General features: G+C 42.8%; 1 protein-coding gene and 1 pseudogene across 16 annotated transcripts in view; one reads left to right on the top strand and one right to left on the bottom strand.

Moving 5' to 3' along the window:
• CNIH3 (cornichon family AMPA receptor auxiliary protein 3) overlaps window positions 1-24109 on the top strand; it is a 305915-nt gene that overhangs the window by 218390 nt on the left and 63416 nt on the right. The gene's annotated exons all lie outside the window — the stretch shown is intronic.
• DNAJB6P6 (DNAJB6 pseudogene 6) lies at window positions 8116-8858 on the bottom strand (annotated as a pseudogene).

The raw sequence follows: 24109 nt of genomic DNA on the forward strand, positions 1-24109 counted from the left end.
GTGAGTCACTAGCCTAGGTTTGACAACTAAAATAAATTATTAATTATTCTACATATTCCTTGTCAACCATTTTTTGGCTCTCATTTTTCAAACTGGGAGGACCTCATCATTAAAAGACTGTAGTGGCTCATGCCTGTAATCCCAGCACTTTGGGAGGCTGAGGCAGGCGGATCACTTGAGGTCAGGAGTTTGAGACCAGCCTGACCAACATGGTGAAACCCCATCTCTACTAAAAATACAAAATTAGCCTGGCGTGGTGGCACACGCCTATAATCCCAGCTACTTGGGAGGCTGAGGTAGGAGAATCACTTGAACCCAGGAGGCAGAGGTTGCAGTGAGCCAAGATCGTGCCATTGCACTCCAGCCTGGGCAGCAAGAGTGAAACTCCACCTCAAAAAAAAAAAAAAAAGTGACTGTAGTTTATTAGACATTTCATCTAAATTTTATGTTTTTCTTCCTTGAATTTTGGAATCTGTGTTTCTCAGTCTGGTGTTTTCGATGAGGAGCAATGGAGTTTTGGGTATTTCTGTATTTTTATGGATCACTTTTTACATACTTCTCCTGTGAAGAAATCTATTAAGGAAAATACAAGACTTTGCAGTCTCTCTTTAGTATTCACTCTGTGAACTGGTGACGCTGTACAAACTCAATATAAATTCTCAGTTACTGTTGCTTTTTAATACTACCTCAAGAGTCAGTATGGCCTATATCTGTTTTGAACAAAGGAAGGCAGCTGGGCCTTAGCCTCTCTTCCTTTAAAGAGTTTGAGGCTGGGCATAGTGGTGCACACCTGTAATCCCAGCACTTCGGTAGGCCGAGGCAGGCTGACTGCTTGAGCCAGGAGTTTGAGACCAGCCTGGGCAATATGGTGAAACCCTGTCTCTATTAAAAAAATGAAAAAATTAGCTGGGACTGCAGGCATGCACTACCACACCCAGCTACTGGGGAGGCTGAGGCGAGAGGATCACATGAGCCTGAGAGGTCGAGGCTGCAGTGAGCTGTGATTGTGCCACTGTGCTCCAGCCTGGACAACAGAGTGAGACCCTGTTTAAAAAAAAAAAAAAAGATTTGGCTGGATGCAGTGGCTCATGTCTGTAATCCCAACACTTTGGGAGGCCAAGGCGGGCGGATCACCTGAGGTCAGGAGTTCGAGACCAGCCTGCCCAACATGGCGAAACCCCTGTCTCTACTAAAAATACAAAAATGAGCCAGTTGTGGTGGCGCACACCTGTAATCCCAGCTACTTGGGAGGCTGAGGCAGGAGGATCGCTTGAACCCGGGGGTGGAGGTTGCAGTGAGCCAAGGTCACACCACTGCACTCCAGCCTAGGCAACAGAGCAAGACTCCATCTCAACAACAACGAAAAAAAGATTTTAAGTTGCTTTTGAATAGCCCAGATGCATGCCTCCTTGCTGTAGAGTTGGGTTTTGTTTGTTTAATAAAGAAGATATTCTATATGCTGATATACAGCTTTTTCTTCCTTTCTTTGGTCATAAACTAGGTGTGACCTCAGTAGACACTGATTTTAGCCACTGTTGATGCCTGTTTCTAAAAACTGAATCAGCAAATGCCTTGCAGGATTTAATTGGCTATACACAATAACTCCATACAGCAGGTCACTTCCTTTAGTTACTTAGGGACACACTTTGCAAATAATTCACTCTGGAGAATTCATTAAGAAGCTGTATTGCCCAAAGCCAGATAGTCTACAGGAGCATTACCAAGATTTTTAATAAAAAATACCTCTGCTTAATAACTAGTAACAAGTAGTACCTGCTTTGAAACTTTTCTAGGCCAAACTAATTCCAATCCCTATGGTGTAGAATGTTGAAAACTTTGATCGGCCGTCCCTTTACATGCTGGAATATATCCAGAGTATTTAGGAAATGCAACTTGACCTAACCTTCAGGTCTCTCTTTGGCTCGTGTATCTTTTAGGGTCCCATTAGAAAACAGATCGCACATGCAAAGGGGGTAATTGAGGAAAGTTTAATGAAGGGACTATTTACAGAGGAGGTATAGGGTTAAAAAACCAACAGGGATGATGTGGCACCAGGATCTAGCAACCCATGAAGCTGTTACCACCCCTGGGTGTGAAGGGGTAAGGGGAGGAGGCTGTTACTAGAACTTCATGGGAGCTATAGTGGGTGGGGCTGTCTTCTGAAGGAGCTAGGGCCTCATGTGGAGAGGTAGAGACACTGTGAAGCCACAGTAGCAGGAAGGGAACTGGGCAATAAGTACCCTAATAAGATCCTTGTGTCTTCAGCTGATGCCTCCTGTTGGCCTAATATAATGGGAAGCAAGAGGGCAAGGAAGGCCAGATGGTGCATTCTTCAGAGCCTGCCAGGGCCGTGGGCAGGGTGGAGAAGGGTGAAGAGGGATCTGGAAGGGTAAATGGAGGCTTTTGAGCGCAGTTAACTTTTGGGCTGAAGGAAAATGGACATGCAAGCAGGAGGGAGAATCCTAGTTAGACTCCTCGGTTTTCACAAGTCATTGTCGATGTCACTGTCAGTGTAGTGGGCCTTCAAGCTATAGGGAGCCACTCCTAATGAGCAACATGGAACACTAGGCCTTTCCTGGAGAACCTCACTTCCACTTGTTTGTTCTCCAACTTTCCAGACACCTAGTGTTAGCAAAACACCCAGGGATCCGTTGCTCACTCTATGGAAAGCCAATTACTGGGATAACAAGTATTGCCAGGGAAGAAGCCTTTTTATTAGGGTGACATCAGTCAGAAAGATGAGAGATCAGTCCCAAACACATCTCTCTCAACGGACTAAAATTGGAGGTTTGTATAATGGGGAAGGAGTGTAACTATGCATGGGAAAGCAGGAATTAGGGAGGGGCAGTATGGAAGCAAACATGAAGGTTGTGGGACTGGGGTCTCACTGGATGTGGTGATTATGTGAGTTTCAGCTTCTTGTCCAATGGTCAGTTTCCTGAGGAAGGAACTCAGATGAGACAAATGTAAATTTCACATGTTAAGACCCGGGAGTGTCAATTTCCATGTTTATTCAAAAAACCAGAAGCATCAGTTCTGTTGAACAGTTGGGGCAGTTTCAGTCCCTCCCCTTTCTATTGATCAATTCCTCAATCATGGGGAATCTGACCATCAATCCTGGATGCTTCATGCTGAGGAAGGTCGTTGTGGGATAATGAGAAGGAATGAAAGCATTCCACTTATAATGGGAAATACTCAAAGTACCTGGTTTGCATCTGGCGCACTGGAAGACCATGATCTGTGTACTTTTATTTTGCTTTTTGAACAACATTTGAGGCCACATTGAACTAAAGTAATTAACAGCATCGATAAACCAAATTTTAAAATACCAGAATATGGAGTGAATCCACTGGGGAATCCAAGAGAACGATCCTAAGCCTACCAAAAACGTCTTCCTGATTCATACATCCCACATGCGAAAAGCTAGGGTCTAGGGGAGAACAATGACCGGAAAAGTTCATGTTCCCTTTATGATTTCTTATCTAGGATCTTTGGCTGGGTATAAGGGCGGCGGGCGGCGGGGGGGCGGTGTTCACAAGACCATGACTCTTTACTCCAGTGGGATCCCAGAGGGACTGACTGGTTTTACCCAATCTATGCAGGCTAACTTGACAGATGAGTGGGTGGTCAGCAGCATTTCAAAAGGGCTAACTTACTGTGCTTGTGGCTGGTCTTCAGCCTGTTGGGATTTCCAGGTCTTCAACCAGACTGGATCCTCCAGTTTCAAAGAGTGGAGAGGCGCATCTGTAGGGAACTGGAGCTTGTTGGAAGCAAGCTCAGAGACAGTAGTTAATATATTTCTTAATTATTTTGTATGTGATCTAGAGTTAGGAGTTGGAGAAATGGTCTTCCATACATTTCGAAGGGGCTAAGAGCCAGCCCACTTCTGGGAGCTACTTGTATCTTCAGCAGGGCAAGAGGCAAGACCTTTTCCTAGACAAGATTTGTCTCTTGGCAACTGGAGTCCCCTTGGCTACAAGTGGATCCATTCAGTTGATGGGAGGCTTAGGGCTTTGTTTTCATTTTGGTCTCTTTCGGTCTCGATATGCCAGAGGCAACATTGATGGCCAAGCTTTTATTTTGTCCCATATCATTGCCAGGGTGGTATGGCTACCTGCCCTGGGTCCATCCTGTCCTTCAGTAGGATACCTATAGCCAACTCTTATAGCCAATTAAACATTCTAGGCCAGACAGGAATGGAGGTGAGCACACAGTCCTTAACCCTTAAATCAACATAAGAGCCAAAACCCCGAAGCCAAAAAATAAGGTTAATATGCTTGTCATCATAAAGCCAGTCCGCTATGGTTTGCATACAAAGCATATATTAAGCCATAAAGTAAGAACACCACAAATAGTTTTCAAATTCTGGAGAAATAGGGTAGAGAGAGAGAGAGAGAGAGAGAGAAATATGCCTCACATTTTATTGATAAGGGTTTATTTTACTCAATTGTTAAAGGCTATCAATAGCCCAAAAGAAAAAGTGTTCTTGACTTTGAAAACAAAAACAAAAACAATCGGCAATATTTCAAATAAAAGACATAATAAAAAATTATTTCAGTCCTCTACTAGTTCAGTCCATGCAATTAGTCCTGTTCTGCTTGATATTGGGCCAGCAATCGTCATGAACACATCAGCCCTCCAACGAGAGTCCTGGACGTTTCCTCTCTAATCCAGTGGCACAATCTCCAAAGTTGTCAGAAATCTGCATTTAAGAGTCCTTTTCATGAACTCCCCTAAAGAAGCAAGTTTTTGACTGTAGCTGATTATAAACTGCTTTTTGAGAAGAATCAAAGTAAAACAATTATGGATGACAAAAGTCTTAAGACAATCAGGGTTGAAGACACAATTGACAAGGAAGATTGGTTATTTCTGTGGCATGCAACAATTTAACATAATCATAATTATTACTGATAACATATACTAAGATCAGAAATTTAGGAATTTCACATGATTTTTGAATATACATTAATAACACATTTATATCAATATAACCCAAAGAAAGTTAAACATTTACTACATGACAATGCTTTGTATATAATGTTAACATACCAGATAAGCCTAATATGTCTCTCTTGGAATTCAAGGGACCCTAATAGCTAAAAAATTAGTTTGTGGTCAAAAAGACTGAATGTATGTATTTATTTGTTTATTTTTGAGATCAGGTCTTGCCCTGTTGCCCAGGCTGGTGTGCAGTGGCACAATCATGGCTCACTGCAACCTCAACCTCCCTGGCTCAAGCAGTCCTACAACCTTAGCCTCTCAAGTAGCTGGGACTACAGGTGTGTGTCACCATGCCCAGCTAATTTTTATATTTTTTTTTTTGTAGAGGTGAGGTTTTGCCATGTTGCTCAGCTGGTCTTGAACTGGGCTCAAGCAATCAGCCTGCCTCTGCCTCCCAAAGTGCTGGAATTACAGGCGTGAGCCCCTGTGCCTGGCCAAAAAGACTGAATTTAAAACTTGAAATTTTGCTTTTGGAAAATTTGTCAAATATCAAAGGTTAATACACCTGATTTCACAAAATAGGGTCATAGTCACTATGGAATAGTTATTCATTTAGCCAGAATGATAATTCAGATATTAAAAAAAAAACACCAAATCCCGACCTTTACTTTTTGATAGGAAATCCACTTTCCCAGATAATAAGACAGCAAAGACAGCATGGGGCCAACTAAACTTGTCTCTCTCTCCCCTCTTTTTTTTTTTCCTGCAGCTAACTCAAAAGGTAAACAGAAATCTCCTATTATCTCTTATTAATATTACATATTTTGTTCAAAAGAGAAAATCGAATTTACCTCTGTATAGTGTATTATTAATGTTAAAGCTAAGTTCAGTAAAACCTTATAAACAATTTTATCTAATTTTAATCAATTTGACGTTTACATAAACCTTTCATAACCTTTTATAATTTTCTATCAGAGCAGATCAATGCTTCAAGAAAATCTTGTTATTCTGACACAGAGGCCCAGATGCTGGCCTTGCATCAGTGTGCTTTTGATATTAATGTTTAGTTTTTAGAAAGACTGAACTAATTTTACTCCTCAAAATTGGCCTTGCAATCTCACATGCCCACCTCTTCTGCTATAGTCCCTGGGCCAAGAGGGATTGAATAGTTTTAATTTCTGGCCCTGCGTCTCATGAAAGCAGTTTGTTTTGTCACCCTCTCCTGGGTCTGAAGACAAGACTTTGACTGGTGTCAGTGTTTAGGTTGTAGCAGGAGTAGGTGCCTTTTTCAGACCCAGGAGTCAGTGCCCCGTAACTTAATAGCACAAGGACTTTAAAAGCAATACAGAAAGTTACATGGATGTAAAAACCTTAATTCTTTTAAATTTTGGTTTTCCTAATTAATCAAAAACTTAATAATGATGAGATAGAAATTCTCTTAGTAAAATGTAAATCTGCTTCTTAGGCCAGTTACCAAAGGGCAAAGATGATTTGCACTGTGATTGCTTCTCCTTATGGGAAGCTCATTTAGATAACCTGAAAGCCAAACCTGATGGGAAAAGAGTACTTGAATTAATCAGATACAGGAAGAGTGTGTCCAGGGTCATGAGTGAACCTTATAAAGGAAAGAAGAAACCGGGAAACGAGTACTTTGAGCAGGGGAACAGCATGAGAAGTTTGCCAGTTACATGGAACAATTTAGACATAATCAAGAAAAGCCAAGAGTACGGAATCAAGTTATACTGGAAGAAAACATCGCTTTTCTAGACCTTACAGATAAACATTTCAGCATCAGGCCACTGCAGTAGTTAGAACTGGAGGAAAAAAAGTTAAAAGAGCTAGCAAAAAGGTTGAAGGAGAGAGTTAGCATCTCAGGCCTTTTCATGGGGAGAAAAAAGCTGAAAGCAGCAAGACACATTCTGAGACATGAATATGAGAAGTTTTCAAAAAGAAACAGTATAGTATCAAAATCAAAACCTCTTGTGATTTTATTAAGAGCAAATCGATATTTTAAGGGAAATTTTTTCTAACACAGGAGACCAATCTTTTTCACATCTCTCTCCCCTACCACTGGTTCCTTTCTACCTTGTTTCATAAATAACCTTTCCAAGTCCATAATTTAACCTTTAGGTAATGTATTAGTCCATTTTCATGCTGCTGATAAAGACATAGCTGAGACTAGGCAATTTACAAAAGAAAGAGTTTTATTTGGACTTACAGTTCCACGTGGCTGGGGAAGCCTTACAATCACGGTGGAAGACAAGGAGTCAGTCACATCTTACATAGATGACAGCAGGCAAAGAGAGATCAGATCTCGTGAGACTTACTCACTACCACGAGAACAGTGTGATGGAAATCACCCCCATAATTCAATGATCTCCCACTGGGTCCCTCCCACAACACATGGGAATTATTGGAGCATAATTCAAGATGAGATTTGGTTGGGGACACAGCCAAACCGTGTCAGATAACTTCTGAATTAAACAAAATTATTATTTTTCTCAATAAGAACACATCTTCTTTGGCACATTTTATATACAATTTTTTTTTTCAGGAAAAATGCACTGAACACATTTGCGTTTCTTTGTTTTAAAGCAAATGACAAAGACCCAGCTTACCAGCTTTACTTTTTTAAAACCCAAGCTTAACGTTGCATGTTTAAACAATTGTCAAGACCTACCAAATTGCCAGCATTTATGCACAAGTAGAAAACATCCTTAATTTATATTAAGCCAGAAGTATATTACCATTAACGCATTAATATCTTTCACTACTAAACACTGAAAAAAATGAAATTGTTTCTATAGAAGGCTTATCCTGGCAATATTAACGTCATAACAGGCTGACACTGCTTGGCTCACATTTGCAGACGTGATGGAAAAGCAGATCCATGCTGGTGTTAGTGTACAATCTTGTCCTACCACTGAAGAGTCAAGGCTCACCTTGGAGTATGTTTAATAAAAAAGCAAAGTGCATACAGATATTTACATCAATTTTTAAAACAAAAAGTCCTATTTTGTGGTCCCAACAATAAACTCAAAAGTCTATGACAAATAGGAGCTCTGAGAAGCTGTTTATAAATACTTTAGGTACAATTATACTGAAAGTCGAGTTCACTGGATATCTTCAAAAACTGTTTTTGTTAATCCTCAAATGGTGCTTGTTTAGGTTAACATTTCTGTTAAGTGTGTGCATTGAATTCCTGGTTATCCAAGCACAGCTGCTGCTCCTCACCATGTATCGTTAAGGACTTTAACTGGCCCTCTTCTTCAACTTCTGCTCTTTCTTGACCATTCTTGACAATCCTTTTTTTAGTAATTTTTTTGCCATTAACCATTTCAGTAGAAGTTGATACACATTTGAAGTTGCCCATCCCACTACCACCAAATGATGTGGAAGAGAATGAGTCCCCTGTGACCTAGTGACGAGAATGAAGTAAATCCTGTCTCAAAAGAAGAAAATCCACTTCCAAGGTATAGAAATCTACTGAATGCTGAGAAAAACAACCCATCCCTCAGCTTCTGCTCCCTTGGGGACCCCTTTGATTCCCAAAGAAGTCCTCAAATAGATTTTCAAAGTAGGTAAATGGAAATGGGTCTCTTCCACCAAAAAATTCCCTGAAGACATCATCTACGTTATGAAATGTGATGACAAACTCAAATGATTGTCAAAATGACTTCCGCCACGTCCTCTACCATTTAATCCTCCTTCTGGTTTAATATAAATTAAGCTATCTTATTTTCTAGCATCTGACAGCACCTCACGTCTCGGCTACTTGTTTGAATTTTCTCTCTGCTGCTTTATTCTCAGGATTTTTATCTTGGTGCCACTTCAGTGCCAGTTTCTGATATGTCATTTTAATATCCTCCGGTAAGGCATGTCTGCATGCCTAGAACTTCATAGTAATCCACCACATTTTATCAGATTATTGGAACAGGTCGGAGGATGTGGGCAGCTGGCGGGAAGCAGGGAAGGTGGGGTGGCAGCATGGCTGTGTTGGTGATTGTGGCCCAAAATTATATATTAGCTAGAATTCCTATTCTTAGTAACCTTAAATTTGAGTGACGATCTAGGAAGCAAGTAATTCTGAACTGTCTATCAGATGTTAGCATTTTATAGGTAAGAACATTCCATAATTTTTTTACAAAAACATGTTTTGCCTATATTATAACCCTTTCTTAATTGGAAATGACTCAGACATCTAGTGAGCAAAATAATTTCAAGATTTTAAATTACATAAAAAGTTCACTTATAGCAATTATACCATTTACCTTTCACTCATTTTTAGCAGTCTAGATTACGTATGAGAGCTGAGATATTAGACAGAGCTAGTCATTATTTCCTTGTTAATTATTTTTATAACCTGTGCATATTAAGTGCTCACTCAAGAACCTTAAATATATGGGTATTTTCACCAATAACTCAGAAGATTCAGCTCTATTAAACTAATGATACTAGTCTTACTTATAAAAAAAAATCACACAAAGATCATTTTGTTTTGGCTGGGTTTATAGTTTTATAACCTTCTGTGCCAAACTCTGACACTTTAAAATATCTAACAGAGACAAATATAAAACCCAGAAAAAATATGTTGACAACATGAAAACATTTCTGTTTTAATCTTACCAATAATTTTAAAGCCTGCTTGTTTAGGATTTACTTAAGTCACATGAACTTGAAAAAGGCTTGGACTTATATACTTAATTTATGGGTTCCTTTTTATTTATAAGCCAATTTGGTACCATGTAAAGACAACACATGATATCCAGACACATATGTACACATATAAACAAAGACCCAATAGCTTTTACCTTGGAATTCTAGCCATGAGATAGTAGTGCAAACTCACCAGTTTATGAACATGTTCATGTGGCTAAATTTTGCCCTGGTAGGTAATCCAGTGAAGCCTGTGAACCAAAATTTTGGGTTAAGCAGTTTCCAAGGCAGTTTTATTTTTAAAGGCTAAACCTCCCCAGACTCCAAAGAACACTAGGGCCAGACAGCACCACAGAAGAACATCATGTATGAGGTTGGCACAAAAATAATTGTGGTTTTTGCCATCTGAAAGCAATGGCAAAAACCGCAATTACTTTTGCACCAACTTAATACTAATCAGTCCTGACACTTTTTAGATGAGCAACATACAAGCCTGGATACAAGGAACTCTGACCCAGTTTCCCATTTAACAGTAAAATGAATCCAACTGTAAGACAGTCCTATGATTCAAAGACCTTCCAAGATGAGATGAGATCAGGCCATTCGGGGTGGTATGGGTATGGCCGTAGACTTTCCCTTGCTCTCTGGGCCCACAACTACATTCATACCAACCTAAAGAATGCATCCAAGCAGGCCGCAATGTGGGATTGAACCTCGACCTCCCACAGCTATGTCGACGTATGCACAATCACCAATACACAATCCAACTGCAGCAGTAGCCACCATGCCCCAAGAGTGTCCAAACTGAAATAGTTGGGGTGCTTTCCTCTCTTGGTTGGGCTTGTTCAACCTGCAAATGGAAATTTCTTCAGAATTCCCAAAATTGAGAGGAGCAGTTGTCACTGTTTGGACCCACAAAACATACTTGTCCAGACACAGATGTGTATACACACAAACAATCACTAACAAGCCCCAAGAGTGTCCAAACAAATAGTTGGAGGGCTTGCCTCTCTGTTGGTTACACTTGTTCAACCTGCAAATGGAAATTTCTTTGGAATTCCCAAAATTGAGCCATTCCCCTCGTCTGGTACCCATAAAAGACACTCACTTATCCAGATGCAGATGTCACATTTCAAAGGCTGTTCTTCATAGGCAATCAGAAATGCAGTAGGGCCCACAGTGACAGAGTCAAAGAGAGAGACCGAAATTTACCTTCAGCCAAAAAAGAGCCAGGCAGCTGCTTAGGAGGGCTTCTGAAACTCTCCTGGCCCATGGCTGCAGAGCCATGAACAGGGCCTTCTGGTCAAGGAACCAAAATCTGTTATTGAAATGCCAGGGGTTTGGTCTAGTCCTGTTGCTTGCTGCACAGAAAGCCAATTACCGAGACAATGAATATTGCCAGGGAAGAAAGCTTTATTTGGGTGATGTCAGCCAGAGTGATGGGAGATTGCCTTAAATCAATTCCTCTCAGCCAACTAAAATTGGGGGTTTATATAGTGGGGAAGGAATGCAACCGCATGCAGGAAAATGGGAATTAGGGAGAGGTATGGAGCAATCATGATGGATGAGGGATCTGGCATCTCACTGGATGTGGTGGTCTAGTGAGTTTCAGTTCCTTGCCTGAGGGTCGGTTTTCTGAGGAAGGAATTCAGATAAGACAAATCTAAGTTTCAAGTTTTAAGACCAGGGAGGGTCAATTTCCATGTGTATTCAAAAAACCATCAGCATAAGTTCTATGGGCAGTTGGACTGGTTTCACTAGTTGTGAAATAGATTGATGGAAGATGACTGAAGCACATTCAAAATTTGGACCACATTGCATTGTCTTGCCTCCTCCATCAAATATTTTTGCTGGGTCATATTTTGTATTCAGTACTTAGTTATTATGGAGGGGTGCTACAACAAACAGTTTAATGCCTATTGCTGTGTGTGGTATGGGGGTGCAGTATTCTCCATTGTAGTTAAAATTTGTACAGAAAATAACTTTTAAATATGAGTTTGGGGAATAGTTTGTTTCCCCTGAGAAACTGCTATCCTTTTTCTTTATGGACAAGGACAGCTAAGTAACTGATTTCTCTTTCCACTTCAGCTTCTGGGAAACTTATTTTTAATTTTTATTTTGTTTTAGGGACAAGGTCTCACTCTGTCGCCCAAGCTGGAGCACAGTGGCACAATAATAGTTCACTGCAGCCTTGAAGTCCTGGGCTCAAGTGATTCTCCTGCCTCAGCCTCTTGAGTAGCTAGGACTACAGGTGTGCACCACCTCCCCTGGCTATTCTGGGAAACTTAGATCCAAATTTTCAAGCCAATGAATTTGGCTCTTCGGGGGCCTTGTGGTCTTGGTATCTCTCTCTCTCCCACCTCTTTATTTCTTCCTGGGTCTAATTTTTATTTTCAATTATTTTTCTCTATTTTGGGTATTTCTGATAAACCATCTGAAATAATTTTTTATAAGGTAGAGTATTGCACACTCTTGAATATGTATACATTCCGTTAGTTAATTAGTAGGTCTTGGACAGCATGGTCTGGATGGAGGTTCTGAATCCTGGGACCTGCCATGTGATGGATAGACATGTGACTGGGCCTCAGAACTGCCCTCTTGTACGCTGGATACTCCCAGGCTTTATCTTTAGTGAAGAGATAATTTGCCCTTAAGCACACTAGGAAGACAGTCTGGTGTAGAGAAGGAGGTAACCTACTTCATCTAAATGAAGAACTGGGTGAGTTACTGTGATCAACTACTGAAGGGTTTATGAAAGCATTTTGAAAAGTTTAAAACGTTTTATATTTGCTCATTTAACATTCGTTGCAAGCACTGGGCCAAGGATATGAAGATGGGTAAACTCATTCATTCTTTCAATAGATACTTACTGAATAACCACTGTGTGCCTTGCCCTGATCCAGGTGCTTGGAATGCAGCAATGAGCAAAACAGTGTCTCCTTACCTGGAGCAGTACCTCCTGCAATCCTCGAGGCACTTGTAACCTAGTGGGATTCTTTGTATGTGTTCTTTGCATTCTTTGCATCTACTTATATGTGGTAGGACTCACTTATGAGATCAAAGCTGTGCTTTAGATTTAGGGTTTATGGACCTAAGTTACGACATGGAAGATGTTTGTATTTGCAAAGAGATTTACAGTTCCTCCCTCCCCCCTCCCTTTTTCCCAGCACCATGGAATGATATCTACAGGTTAGAGTCGATAGGTTTAGTGATAAGCCCAAGGATTCTGTCTGTAGGTTCCCGAGGAGCCTAGTGTGCTAGGGATGCTTCAGGTGAGGTGCAAACAATCCCCAAGTCACATTTAACCAGTCAGGTGACTCTCAACTGGCCTGGCCAAGCCACCCTCTGGTTTTGATTTAGCAGGTACAGGGCAGGGTCTGTGCCGCCTTGTATTTTGGCAGCTTTCCCAAGGAGTTCTGAAATGTTTCCCACCCCTGTTCCAAGTTCAGAAATACTGATGCAATGCAATGTGCTAATTTTGCACATGAGGACACTGAGACATAGGGGATAAAGGGATTGTTCAAAATCACACAGTCAAAAGCCAAGCCAGAACCCAAACTCAGGTTCCTGACTTCCCCATGATGCCCTTTCCATGAGCCCAGGTGATGGACCTTTCTCTGAGCATGCAGACAGCTGGTACTGTGAGGTGTTAATGGGCTGTGAAATAATCCATCCTGCTTTCTGACTGCCCTTGGCTCAGGTCTGGTAAGGGTTCCAGCAGGGTCATGTCCTGTATGCTCTGGTTGTGCTCTGAGTTGATACTGTGGTTGCTATTTTTCCATTGAAGTATTTTAATAAATTTGTAATGCCTGGCTCTTAAAATTTCCCAAAGTGGATAGTGCTATTTAGAAGAATCTTAATAAAGTACATAGGTATCCTCCTGGTTGGGGCGAGTTTTTCTGCAGGTGATCATTAGAGTGGGCACTTGTCTTAGGAGCCCATGGAGGTTTTTACAAAGGGCCATGGCTCAGCCCTCAATCGCCAGTTTGTGGGTTTCTGCAGGTTTGGAGGAAACTGCTGCCAAAGATTGTCTTTATACAGAAGGAGTCTGTCCATTGGGTACAACATGGAGGCTAAACCACTGCATTTTAGAAGTTTCTTCTTAGTAGTTGATTCCACATTTGGTTTTGAGAACTTTAGGCTTTATCATTCAAGTCCTAGTATAATTCTTCTAGACTAGGAAAGGAATTCTAGATCCCCCAACGGTAGTCTTCTCCACTCTTGGGCTACCCCAAATGTTTGCATGGTTGTCATGTCACGTGCATGCGGTTGACATATGCCTGCTGAGATTGTGGTCTCTCCCTCCTGGGCAGTTTGCAAATTGAAATTTCATTCCTTCTACTTGAGGTTGCCCTTTCCTGACCCCTGTCATCTCCTGTCACATGGAGTTCTTAGTCCACTTCTGTCATCCTGTCCAGGGACTATGCCTTGCCTTCTGTCTGCAGCTCCCAGAACAGTGCCTCATACATAGTAAGTGCTCATTAAATATTCAGTGAATGAAATAACTCTGACTCGTGAGTTGACCTGGCACAGTCCCAGATACTGGCATCTGACAGCAGGAGAGGGCTAATTAGAATCCTCGAATTTCATAAAGAAAATGTAAAATAATGTAAGAGTCTATCTTTGTGTCTTGGGGCAAGGAAGAACTTCTTAAATAAAACTTCAGAAAGTAAAAAATATGAGGCAAAAATGAGTGCAATTGATTTTCATTCAGTGAAGGACACCATAGCCACAGTTAATTAATCAACAGGTGACTGATGAGAGAAGGTGTTTAAAATGTCTAAAATTGAAAGGGGATTCACATCTACAACATACCAGCAACCAGTACAAATCAGAAAGAGAAAAAGGCAGCGATCTCTTGTTGAAAAATGGTCAGAGCATCTAAGCGACAATGAACGGAAGAGGAAACCCCAAAGGCTAACGCTTTATATTAAGAGTTGCTCCAACTCATCTCTGGAGAGGTGCAAATTAAAACAAGAGAGAGACTGCACTTTACCTATTAGACTGCAAACGCTAGAAAGCTGGATTCTGCCAAGTGTCTGAGGGGATGTGGGACAGAGAATCCGCGGCTCTGCTGGGGGAATGTAATCACTTTGAAGGGCAGTCAAGGAGGGCAGTCAGTCCAATAAAAAAAAAAAAAACCCATGACTACAATTCCACTCCTAGGTATAAATCACAAAGAAATTGGCATACCAATCCCTAAGGTGACATGCATTAGGGTTTTGTGGCATTATTTGAGGTGACATGGTCAAGTCTGTGTCTCTCACTGGTAGCGTGGATAGACAAAGTATAGTGGCCGCTCCCATGGAGCCCTGCAGCTACACTTCTGAGGGCAAAAGGTAAGAAAGAATGGGATACAAGTTAGGTAAATTTAAAATCTATGCACACATACAGAATACACATTTTGTAAGAACACAAGGAACAGAAAGATAGACATGAAACATAAACCAATAATTGCCAAGGATGGAGCAAAAGGGCTAATGGCATAAAAGGAAATGAATGAATGAATAAATGAACAGTTATATATGTAAGAGAGGGCCTTGCTTAGATCAATGATGATGTCTCAAAACAAACTACAAGCAACCGGTCACCTACAACTTTTAAGTTGTTTTAACTTTTAAGTAATGCCACAGCTGGCATTACTGCGTTCCTTTATACATATTCTGTCTTCAGTTTGATTAAAATAATCCATATTTAGGTGAGCAATTGATGCCTTGCTCAATAGGCTACCATGCCCAGAAGCTATTGTGTTTTCAGAGTCAACACAAAATGAATGGCAGCTGGTAGAGGCCAGCTACTGTCTGCCTTGCTTTTTGTTGTATCTCCAGCTGCTACCACAGTGCCTGGCAAATGGTAGATGCTTAGTAAGTATTTTTAGGAATGAGTAATGATGGATCTTCTTGGAAGATACTTTGGGGAGCCTTTCTGATGCACATCCACACTTGGGTGCATGCTCCCCCAAAGCTGGGCTAGGCTGGCCATGGACCCTTGAGGCCTAGGTGTCAGAGAAGTATCCAAGGAGTAGAGGACACTGGACCAGAAGAAGGAGGGAGGCTGAAAACAAGGATCCCAAAAGGATGTGTGGAAGGTCACCAAACATTTGAGCCAGAAATTTCTCCTGCATTCTTATGTTTGAGAACCAAGGATGCCAGAGGACGCACAAGTTTGGTGAGAGGAGGGGGAACCTGGGGCTGGGGGTGATTACCTGGGGTAGGCTCTGTGGCCCCAGTGTGCTTCATGCGCAGGGCCAGATGTAGTGCTGGTGGGCTGGCTGAGTTAGGGGGCTGGTGGAGCGGGGGGATTCTAGCCTAACTGCCCCAGGGAAGATCCCAGCACACTGCAGGCTGCCCCCACTTCTTCCCAACCCCTCCCTCACTGCTTGAGCTATTCAGAGTGGCTGCCTGGCCTATGCCTATGACAAGTTAGCAGAAAAGGGCCTTCTCATTCCCTTCTCCTCTCTGGATTTCACCCTGACCCAGATGGCTGCTGGCTGGAGTTGAGGACGGCTGTGCTGTCACCTGAAGCGAGTCAGCTGGGGCTAGGTCTGCCTGGTGTCCTGCTCATTTGGCTTTAGTCCCAGAGTTGCACAGCTCTGGGGTGTCTTTGTTTCCTGTTAACTAGATGGGAACCAGGGAAGCTATGTCAGAACCAGCTGTGTCTGCAGATTCTGGCACACGATGGCAAATAAGCCAAAGTGTCCTGTGTTTCCCAATTTGTACTCATCATTCAGGTCTAGGGACTCTTCCAGGGGCAGCTGATGCCTCCCTCCTCAGCTCACCTGCTGGTCTCCAGCTTCTGTCCTGGCAACTCTAAGTTCATGTTTCCACCTGTAACAGGATGGGCCATGCTGGCTTTATCATCCACCTGAGTCCTCAGAGGGGCTCTGCCATGGCTTTTACCTACACCCTCTACCCCAGCTTTCCCCTGCAGTGACTGGATTCTCCTGATTCAGAGGGTGTGTTGCTAATGATCATGCTCAAGGCCAGAAAGGGGAGGAGAGCCGTGAGACCAGAGGGTGGGGCCTGAACACTGCATGGTAATAATTATGGAAATAAAAGTGATAATGTTTTAACTTTACGTGCTAGGCATTGTGCCCGGTGCTTGTTGTACATTATTTCATTTAATCCTCAAAGTATCAATATGAAGTAGGAACCACTACTGTCTCCTCTTTATACTTGAGGACACCGAGGCTTGGAGGGGGTTAAGCACCTTGCCCATAGTCACACAAACAAATGAGGCAGAATTTGGATTTGAACTGAGACATGCCGACTTGCATGGTATGTGTAACAATGACACTGTTGTGCCTTTTACACAATGGCATTCCCCCCACCCCCACACCCAACAGTCTTCATTTCTCTCTATCCTGGTGCTATAGTCTGTATCACCCCATTTTGCATTCATAGCAACCAGTTGAGGTAGAGATTATTCTCATTTTATGGATAAGGAAGCCATGACCTGGAGGAGTGAAGTGACAAGCTCCAGGTCACAGAGCTGGGAACTGGCAGGGTCAGGATGCAAGTGAGACCTCCTTCAGATCCAGGACTCTTCACTCTAAAGAGGCAGCACCTGTTAGGGAGAGAGAGGCATGGAGCCGGGGTGGTCCATTTTGTGATGGTGTGAGGAAGGGATGTAGCTATGCAAGGACTTAGAAGATGGTGGCATGGGAAGATCTGGACACTCGGGGCTGCTGCTCAGGTGTGGAGGGCATGGTGGCAGAAGGGCTGGGTCTCATTTTCCTGACCAGCGGCTCTCCTCCTACAGAGTCTAAGGGGCTCTTTATCCTTAAGGCTCAGCTTTGGAATTTGCCCAGCCCCATCCTTTTGTGGAGTCTGTTATGGGTAGCCCACAGCACAGACGGTCCCCACTCATGATGAGGGTGGACACTGCTCTTGAGACAATGATAAGCTACCCTGTGCAGGCTCTGAGGGTGAGAGTGCCAGGACAGGTCCTCTTCTTCTCTGGTCCTGAGGCTCCTCATCCCTAAATGGAGGAGGCTGGGTCACACACTTTTCCCAACTTGCTGTAAGGCAGCTTCCTTCCTAAGATGAGTGTGTGCCAAGATGTGGGATGCCATGACTCATGATGGCTTCTCACACATGAAAGGGACCCACTGGTCATCACTCTGCCATTTTCCCACCAAGCCCCACTGGCCAGGGCCCAGCCTGGAGCCTGTGACAGTCCCTAGTATTGGGGGTTTGTGGTGGTTAACTTTGCATGTCAATGTGACTTGGCTATGATGTCTAGATATGTGGCCAAACGTTATTCTGGATGTTTCTGTGAGGGTGTTTTTGGATAAGATTAATATTTAAATTGGTAAAGCAGATTGCCCTCCCTAACATAGGTGGGCCTCATCCAATCAGCTGAAGGTCCAGATAGAACAAAAGACCAACTTCCTCCGAGCAAGAGGGAATTCTGTCAGCAGACGGCCTTTGGACTTGAACCATGGCACTGGCTCCTTCCTAGGTTTCCAGCCTGCTGGCTGACTCTGCAGAATTGGGACTTCTCAGCCTCCATCATTGCATAAGCCAATTCCTTAAAACAGATATTTTTCTGTGCATATATCTACACACATCCTGTTGGTTCTGTTTCTCTAGGGAACCCTGACCAATACAGAGATGAAATGGGGTGGAGTTAGGGCAAGACTCTGGGCCTCTCCAACCAGAGGCTCTGTGCTGGTTGGAAGTTCAACTTCCTCTCCTAGACTCTTGGTCATACGGGCATAAGTAGACCATTCATTTGATTGGGAGCCCTTAAAAGGCAGGACTCTGGTGCTAAGCCTGCTGTGTCCTGCCCTGCATGGCACCCCATGTGGATGGATGCATTAATAAAGGTTCCTCACTCCCCCTTACAGAAGAGGGTGAGACTGCATGGCCCAATGGAGGAAGCACAAGAAAGAGAGATGGGGAAGGTGAGGACTGGCCCCAGCACTGCCCTCTTCAACCAGGTAGCCCTGGACATTGCTAACGACCTCTCATTCTTCTTGATTCTTCATTTGCAAAGTGGGTGTCACATCATTTGGGATATTATATACAATGAACACAAAATCAAATAAAACATGTGAAAACACTTTGGAAAGCTTCAACTACTCCATGACATCTGGCATTACACTTTTTAGAAAAGGGAGTGGATTGAGAGACCCTGAGTCTTTTTCTAGACCACTTGGTGATGGGAGCTGAGCAAGGACTTGAACAGGTGGGTGGTACCCATGTAGAGTCCCCAAGAGGCTTTTGAGTTTGGAGCCAGTGCCACTTGCTTCTTGGAGGCTCAGAGATGACTAAGCAAACACTTGCATGTAGCAGTTTAGAATCAGTGTACAGAGAGACTTTAGGACTCAAGGCTGTACTAGTTTCAGGCATAAAACTAGGACTAGATATAAGATGTATGTTATAACCAATAAAATCACTCATCTCTCATTTTTTTCCTCTCCAGTGGAGCTCTTTGTGCTTTAACAGGACCTTAGAAAGGGTCCCTAAAACTTGGGCTGTGGTTTGAAGACATTGCTCTTTTGGGGACAAGACAGAGGAAGTAAAAAGCAGAATTCTCTCTAAATTAGAATTGTATTCTGAGCGTGGGTTTGGGGGACTTACAGGAAGGTTTGGGGGGAGTATAAAAGCCTGCTTCCCTGGGGAGGTGTATATTTTGGGTCAGAAATACTCGTTTGCATCTTTCATGCTAACATTTTCAGGTAGCACCAAAAGCCATTCCTTCCAGATCTTAGATGACAGCAGCAGTAGTTTCAGGTATTTTGCAAATGGAGTGTATTTGTTCCTTAGGGCAGCCTTAACAAATTACCACCAGGTGGGTGGCTTAAAACAATAGGAATTTATTCTCTCAAAGTTCTGAAGGCTAGAAGTCTGAAGACAGATGGGCCATGTTCCCTCCAAATGCTCTAAGGGAGAATCCTTCCTCACCTCTTCCCAGCTAATGGTGGCTCCTGGTAGCCCTTGATGTTCCTCGGCTGATAGCTGTGTCCCTCCAATTGCAGCCTCTGTCTTCACATGGCCTTCACTGTGTGGCTTTTTTTCTATCTCATAAAGATGACCCCATCTTTTCTAATTACACCTGCAAAGACCCTATTTCTAAATAAGGTCACATTCTGAGGTTCCAGGTAGATATGAATTTTGGAGGTCACTATTCAACACACAACATGGAGAAATCAAGAGAGAAAGGTCCGTTCAAAGTGGCCCTAATACAAATAGGAGTATGAGCACAGAACTGGGTGAGGGAGCTGTCCCTATTCAAAATTGGACCTGTAGTCAGAGTTTCTAGGAGGTTTGGGGCATGTGCCCACTCATTAGAAAACTGCGCAGCTTTTCCCAGTGCCCAAATGCTCTCTGAGAGGGGTTAACCCAAATCTGTCCTCCGAGTCCCTGGGTATGACTTGCTAGGATTCATGATCTCTTTAAATATTGCCCCTGAACATTGAGTTTTCATTTGGGTGAATTTGCTACTGCTCAGAACGGACTTGAAAACTGTCAGCCCAGCACCTGTTCCTCAGTCTGCACAACTGACACTGGTTTCACACTGATCAACCTGTATCAGCAGTGGCCCCCTCGGTCATGTCCATGCAACTCCTTTTGTTAGAGTGAGAGACCACAAGCAGCAAACACAGTCCTGCAAGTCACATAAGGGCCGCATCACCAATGGAATAGATGGGCTAAATGGCTTCATGCCACACTGTCTATTTTGGGGAGCTGCAGTTGGATGAATCCCGCACAGTTGGGATCCTGGCCAGCCCTGAGCCTTGACCTCCCCTCCCCCTGCTGTCTGTCTCACTCTCTGGCTTCCCCTGTGCAGGCCTTTCCATGCCTCACACCTGCCAAGCTTATTTCCTGCTTCTGGCATCTGCAGCATAATTTCCGTTTCTGGAAATTTCTTCCCAGACCTTTCCATGTCTGGCTCCTGGACATTCAGTCCTCTCAGCTTGAAAGATACCTCGTCAGAGAGGCTTCCCTGATCACTTCCCTCTCTACTCCCGATTCTGTTTCTTCCTATCAGCTGTTTTATTTTCTTCACACAGTCTGCCATTTTCTGATGCTTTTCTTATCTATTTGTGAATTATCTCTTCTGCCCTTACCCTTGATTATAACTTCTGTGATGACAGGGACCTTCTGTTCTTTCTCACTCCTGTCCTAGAGAACCAAAAATGGTGCCAGGTACATCGTGGGTATCTAGTCAGTATTTTTTTTTTTGGCCTCTTCAGTAACCCAACATTTTCTTTTTACCCGTTCAAGTCACAGAGGGGCAGCACAGCGTGCTGGATGGAGCACTAACCAGTCAAAGACTCAGAGACCTGGGTCCAGTGTGGGTTGTCCCTCATTCATCATGCAAGGTAAAGTACATCATTCAAACACTGTGACTGGGTCTTGGTCTCCTGAACTGTATGCTAGGGGGAGATTCCGATCCAGTTCACAAGAGTTCTTATGCAGATCAAGTTATGTCAATAAGATAGTGCAGTACACATGCAAGGTAGTGAGGTCTCAACCATTTAAGAGCCTTCAGAAATAAGAGGAGCAAATGCAGGGAAGAGAAAGTCCCAGAGAAAACCAGCCTTTCCTAATGCTAAGCTCTCTGATGGGGCAGCCCTGGGGACTCATTAGCTAATGCACATTGACATTTCAATCGTTTCTTCATCTTCCAGGAAGGTTTTTTTTTTTTTTTTTTTTTTTTTTTTTTTTTTTGCCATAGTACAGCATGGTTATTTTTAGCAAAATAATGATTTCAGACAAGTGAGATAACTTTTAATCTCCTAACTATAAATTCTGTGGACCCAAAGACAGAAGCATGAGATGCTTTATAGAGTGTTTCTATAGTTTCCCACCTCTTGAGGTGGGTCCACCCTGCTTCCCTGCTGGTGTTGAGGCTGGATGGAATCCAGGCAGTCTAGACTTAGGGCAGGCCCCAGCAGGACTGACCTTGCTGTAGTCCTTGGTGAGGCTCCGCGCAGTGAGCTTCCATGGATAGTTGCTTCATGGTCCTGTGGTTGGGGGAACAGGGAGGGGCAATAGGCTAGAGGGTTGGGGCAGCACCTTTTGGGCTGAACTTGCCTAAGCCTAGTGGTGGGTAGGGATAGGGTTCAGTGTTCATAGAAACAGCTTCACTTCTAGCGTGTTCTCTGTTTGTAGCTGCCCTCCTTTCTGGACTTCTCGGTGGCTTCCTCTGGCTCTGTCTCTCCTGAAGCCTCCATCCAGGCTAGTACTCCACTAAGTTCTGATGTTTGACCATGTATATTGCATTATCTTACTGATATAACTTGATCCTTCTCTCTCCCTCTGGTGCTGCATCTCCTGCAAGACCTCCAATTTTCTACCCCAGAGCCTCACCCTTGCCCCACTTTTTCAGGCAGGGCCGGGCCCCAGGCAGCGTAGAGGCAATCTGGCTTTCAAGGACCTCAGTTATGCCTCTTGGGGAAGAACAATAGCTCTTGCTTTGTTTCCACTGCTTTGCTGCCAACTTTTCTTACATTTTCTGTGATCACTTAAACCTCCATCTCAAAAGTCTGGTGAGAAAAAAAGCAGGGGAGATGCCTGATGAGGGAGGGTGAAATACAAAAATAGGGGTGGCTCCGAATATAAATCTGCAGATTTGACAACTTCGATGAAATGGGCCAATTCCTTGAAATCACAAACTGCCAAAGCTCATGTCATAGGAAATAGATAACTGGAATAGTCCTAAATCTATTAAATAAATTGAATTTGTAGTTTAAACCTTCCTAAAGAGAAAACTCAAGTTTTAGAAAAATATGTAAGTGAAAACCTCTGTGATCTTAGAAGTTCTTAGATTCAAAAGAGTTCATAGGTTGAATACCCAAATATGATCCATAAAAGAAAAACTGATAAATGGGATAAACTAGTTGAAATGAAAAATTTTTGCTCTGAGAAGCATACTGTCAAAAGTGAAATGACAAGCCACAGCATAGAAGACAATATTTGCAAATTACATATTTGACAAGGGACTTGTATCCAAAATTTATAAAGAACTCTCAAAGATCATCAGTAACAAAAAAACCAGCTAATTTTGTTTTAAAAGAGAAAATGATTTGGACACACATTTCATCAAAAAAGATGTACAGATGACAGCTAAGCCCATGAAAAGTGCTCAGCATCGTTAGTCACTGGAGGAATGCAAATTACAGCTGTAATGATAACTCGACACACCTACTGAAATGACTAAAAAACCAAAACTAGGCAAAAAACCCCCCAAAACTAAACTGACAGGACTTAGTTCTGGCTAGGGTGTGGAGTCATGGGAACACTCATGTTGCTTGTGGGAATGCAAAATAGTGCAGCCACTTTGGAAAACAGTTTTGTCAGTTTCTTATAAATTAAATCTACACTTACCACATGGACCAGCAATCCCCCTCCTATTTCTCCAAGGAAATTGAAAACTTATGTTTAGATAAAAGGCCTTGTGTAGATGTTTATAGCAGCTTTATTCATAATTGTCAAAATCTGGAAACAACCCAAATATCCTTTAACAGGTAGATAAATAAACCGTAGTTCGTTTGTACAATGGAATACTACTTGGCAGTAAAAGGGAACAAACCATTGATATAGGCAACAGTGTGGCTTAAACTTAAACACATCGTGTATTTACATATGCTTACAAAAGAAAGCAGGCTCAGAAGCCTACATACTGCGTGATTCCATTTATGTGACTTTCTGGAGAAGGCAAAACTAGAGGGATGGAGAACAGATTAGTGGTTGCTGGGCAGGGGACGGGGTGAGACATGGCGGGGGGGTGTTGCAGGAGGGAATTTTGGGGTGATAGAACTGTTCTGTGTCTTGATTTTGGAGGTGATCACATGACTGCATTTGTCAAAATTCACAGAACTTTTCACCAAAAAGAGTGAGTTTTACTGCATTAAATGTAAAAATGATTTTTAAAACGGGTGAGATATGAAATGATCTTATCGTTGGTTTAGCAGTTAAAGTTCACCTAAAGTTCAGCAGTTAAACCTGTACTGTCAGTTGCTGGGCTGAAGGGTGCAATGGAGCATTGTAGGACACACACGGAGGCTGGTCTGTGCATTCAGCTGAATTAAACTGTCTGGCCGTTCATCTGCCCATCCTTACATCATTGTGTTCATCACACTCGCAGTCAGTCCATTGCTGATGCTAAGGCTTAGCTCTAGATAGAAGTCTGCCACATGCAAAGGATGATACTACACAGTGGGGCCCGTGGCTTCTATCCTCAGACAGGTCAGGAGGCTGAAACTGGGAATCTATTTATGAATTAGTGCTAAGTGGGGGGTAGCCTAACCCCTACCTCCTCGGGGAAGCTTTGCTTTGTTTCCATGGGGACAGCTGTTCATTCTTCTGAATGTCTTCCGACTCCTTATTTACTTTTCTCTGTATGTACTTGGAGGCAGAATAACGTAATGGTAACACTCAGGTTTTAGTGTTAGGCAGGCCTTGGTTTGGATCCTGGCACCAAAGAGTAATCGTGGGCAAGTAACTTAACTACTTTGGGCCTCAGTTTCTTCTTCTCTGAAATGGGACCAGTAATAGTG

The sequence above is a fragment of the Homo sapiens genome, chromosome 1, assembly GCF_000001405.40.
Source record: "Homo sapiens chromosome 1, GRCh38.p14 Primary Assembly".
Lineage (NCBI taxonomy): Eukaryota > Metazoa > Chordata > Mammalia > Primates > Hominidae > Homo > Homo sapiens.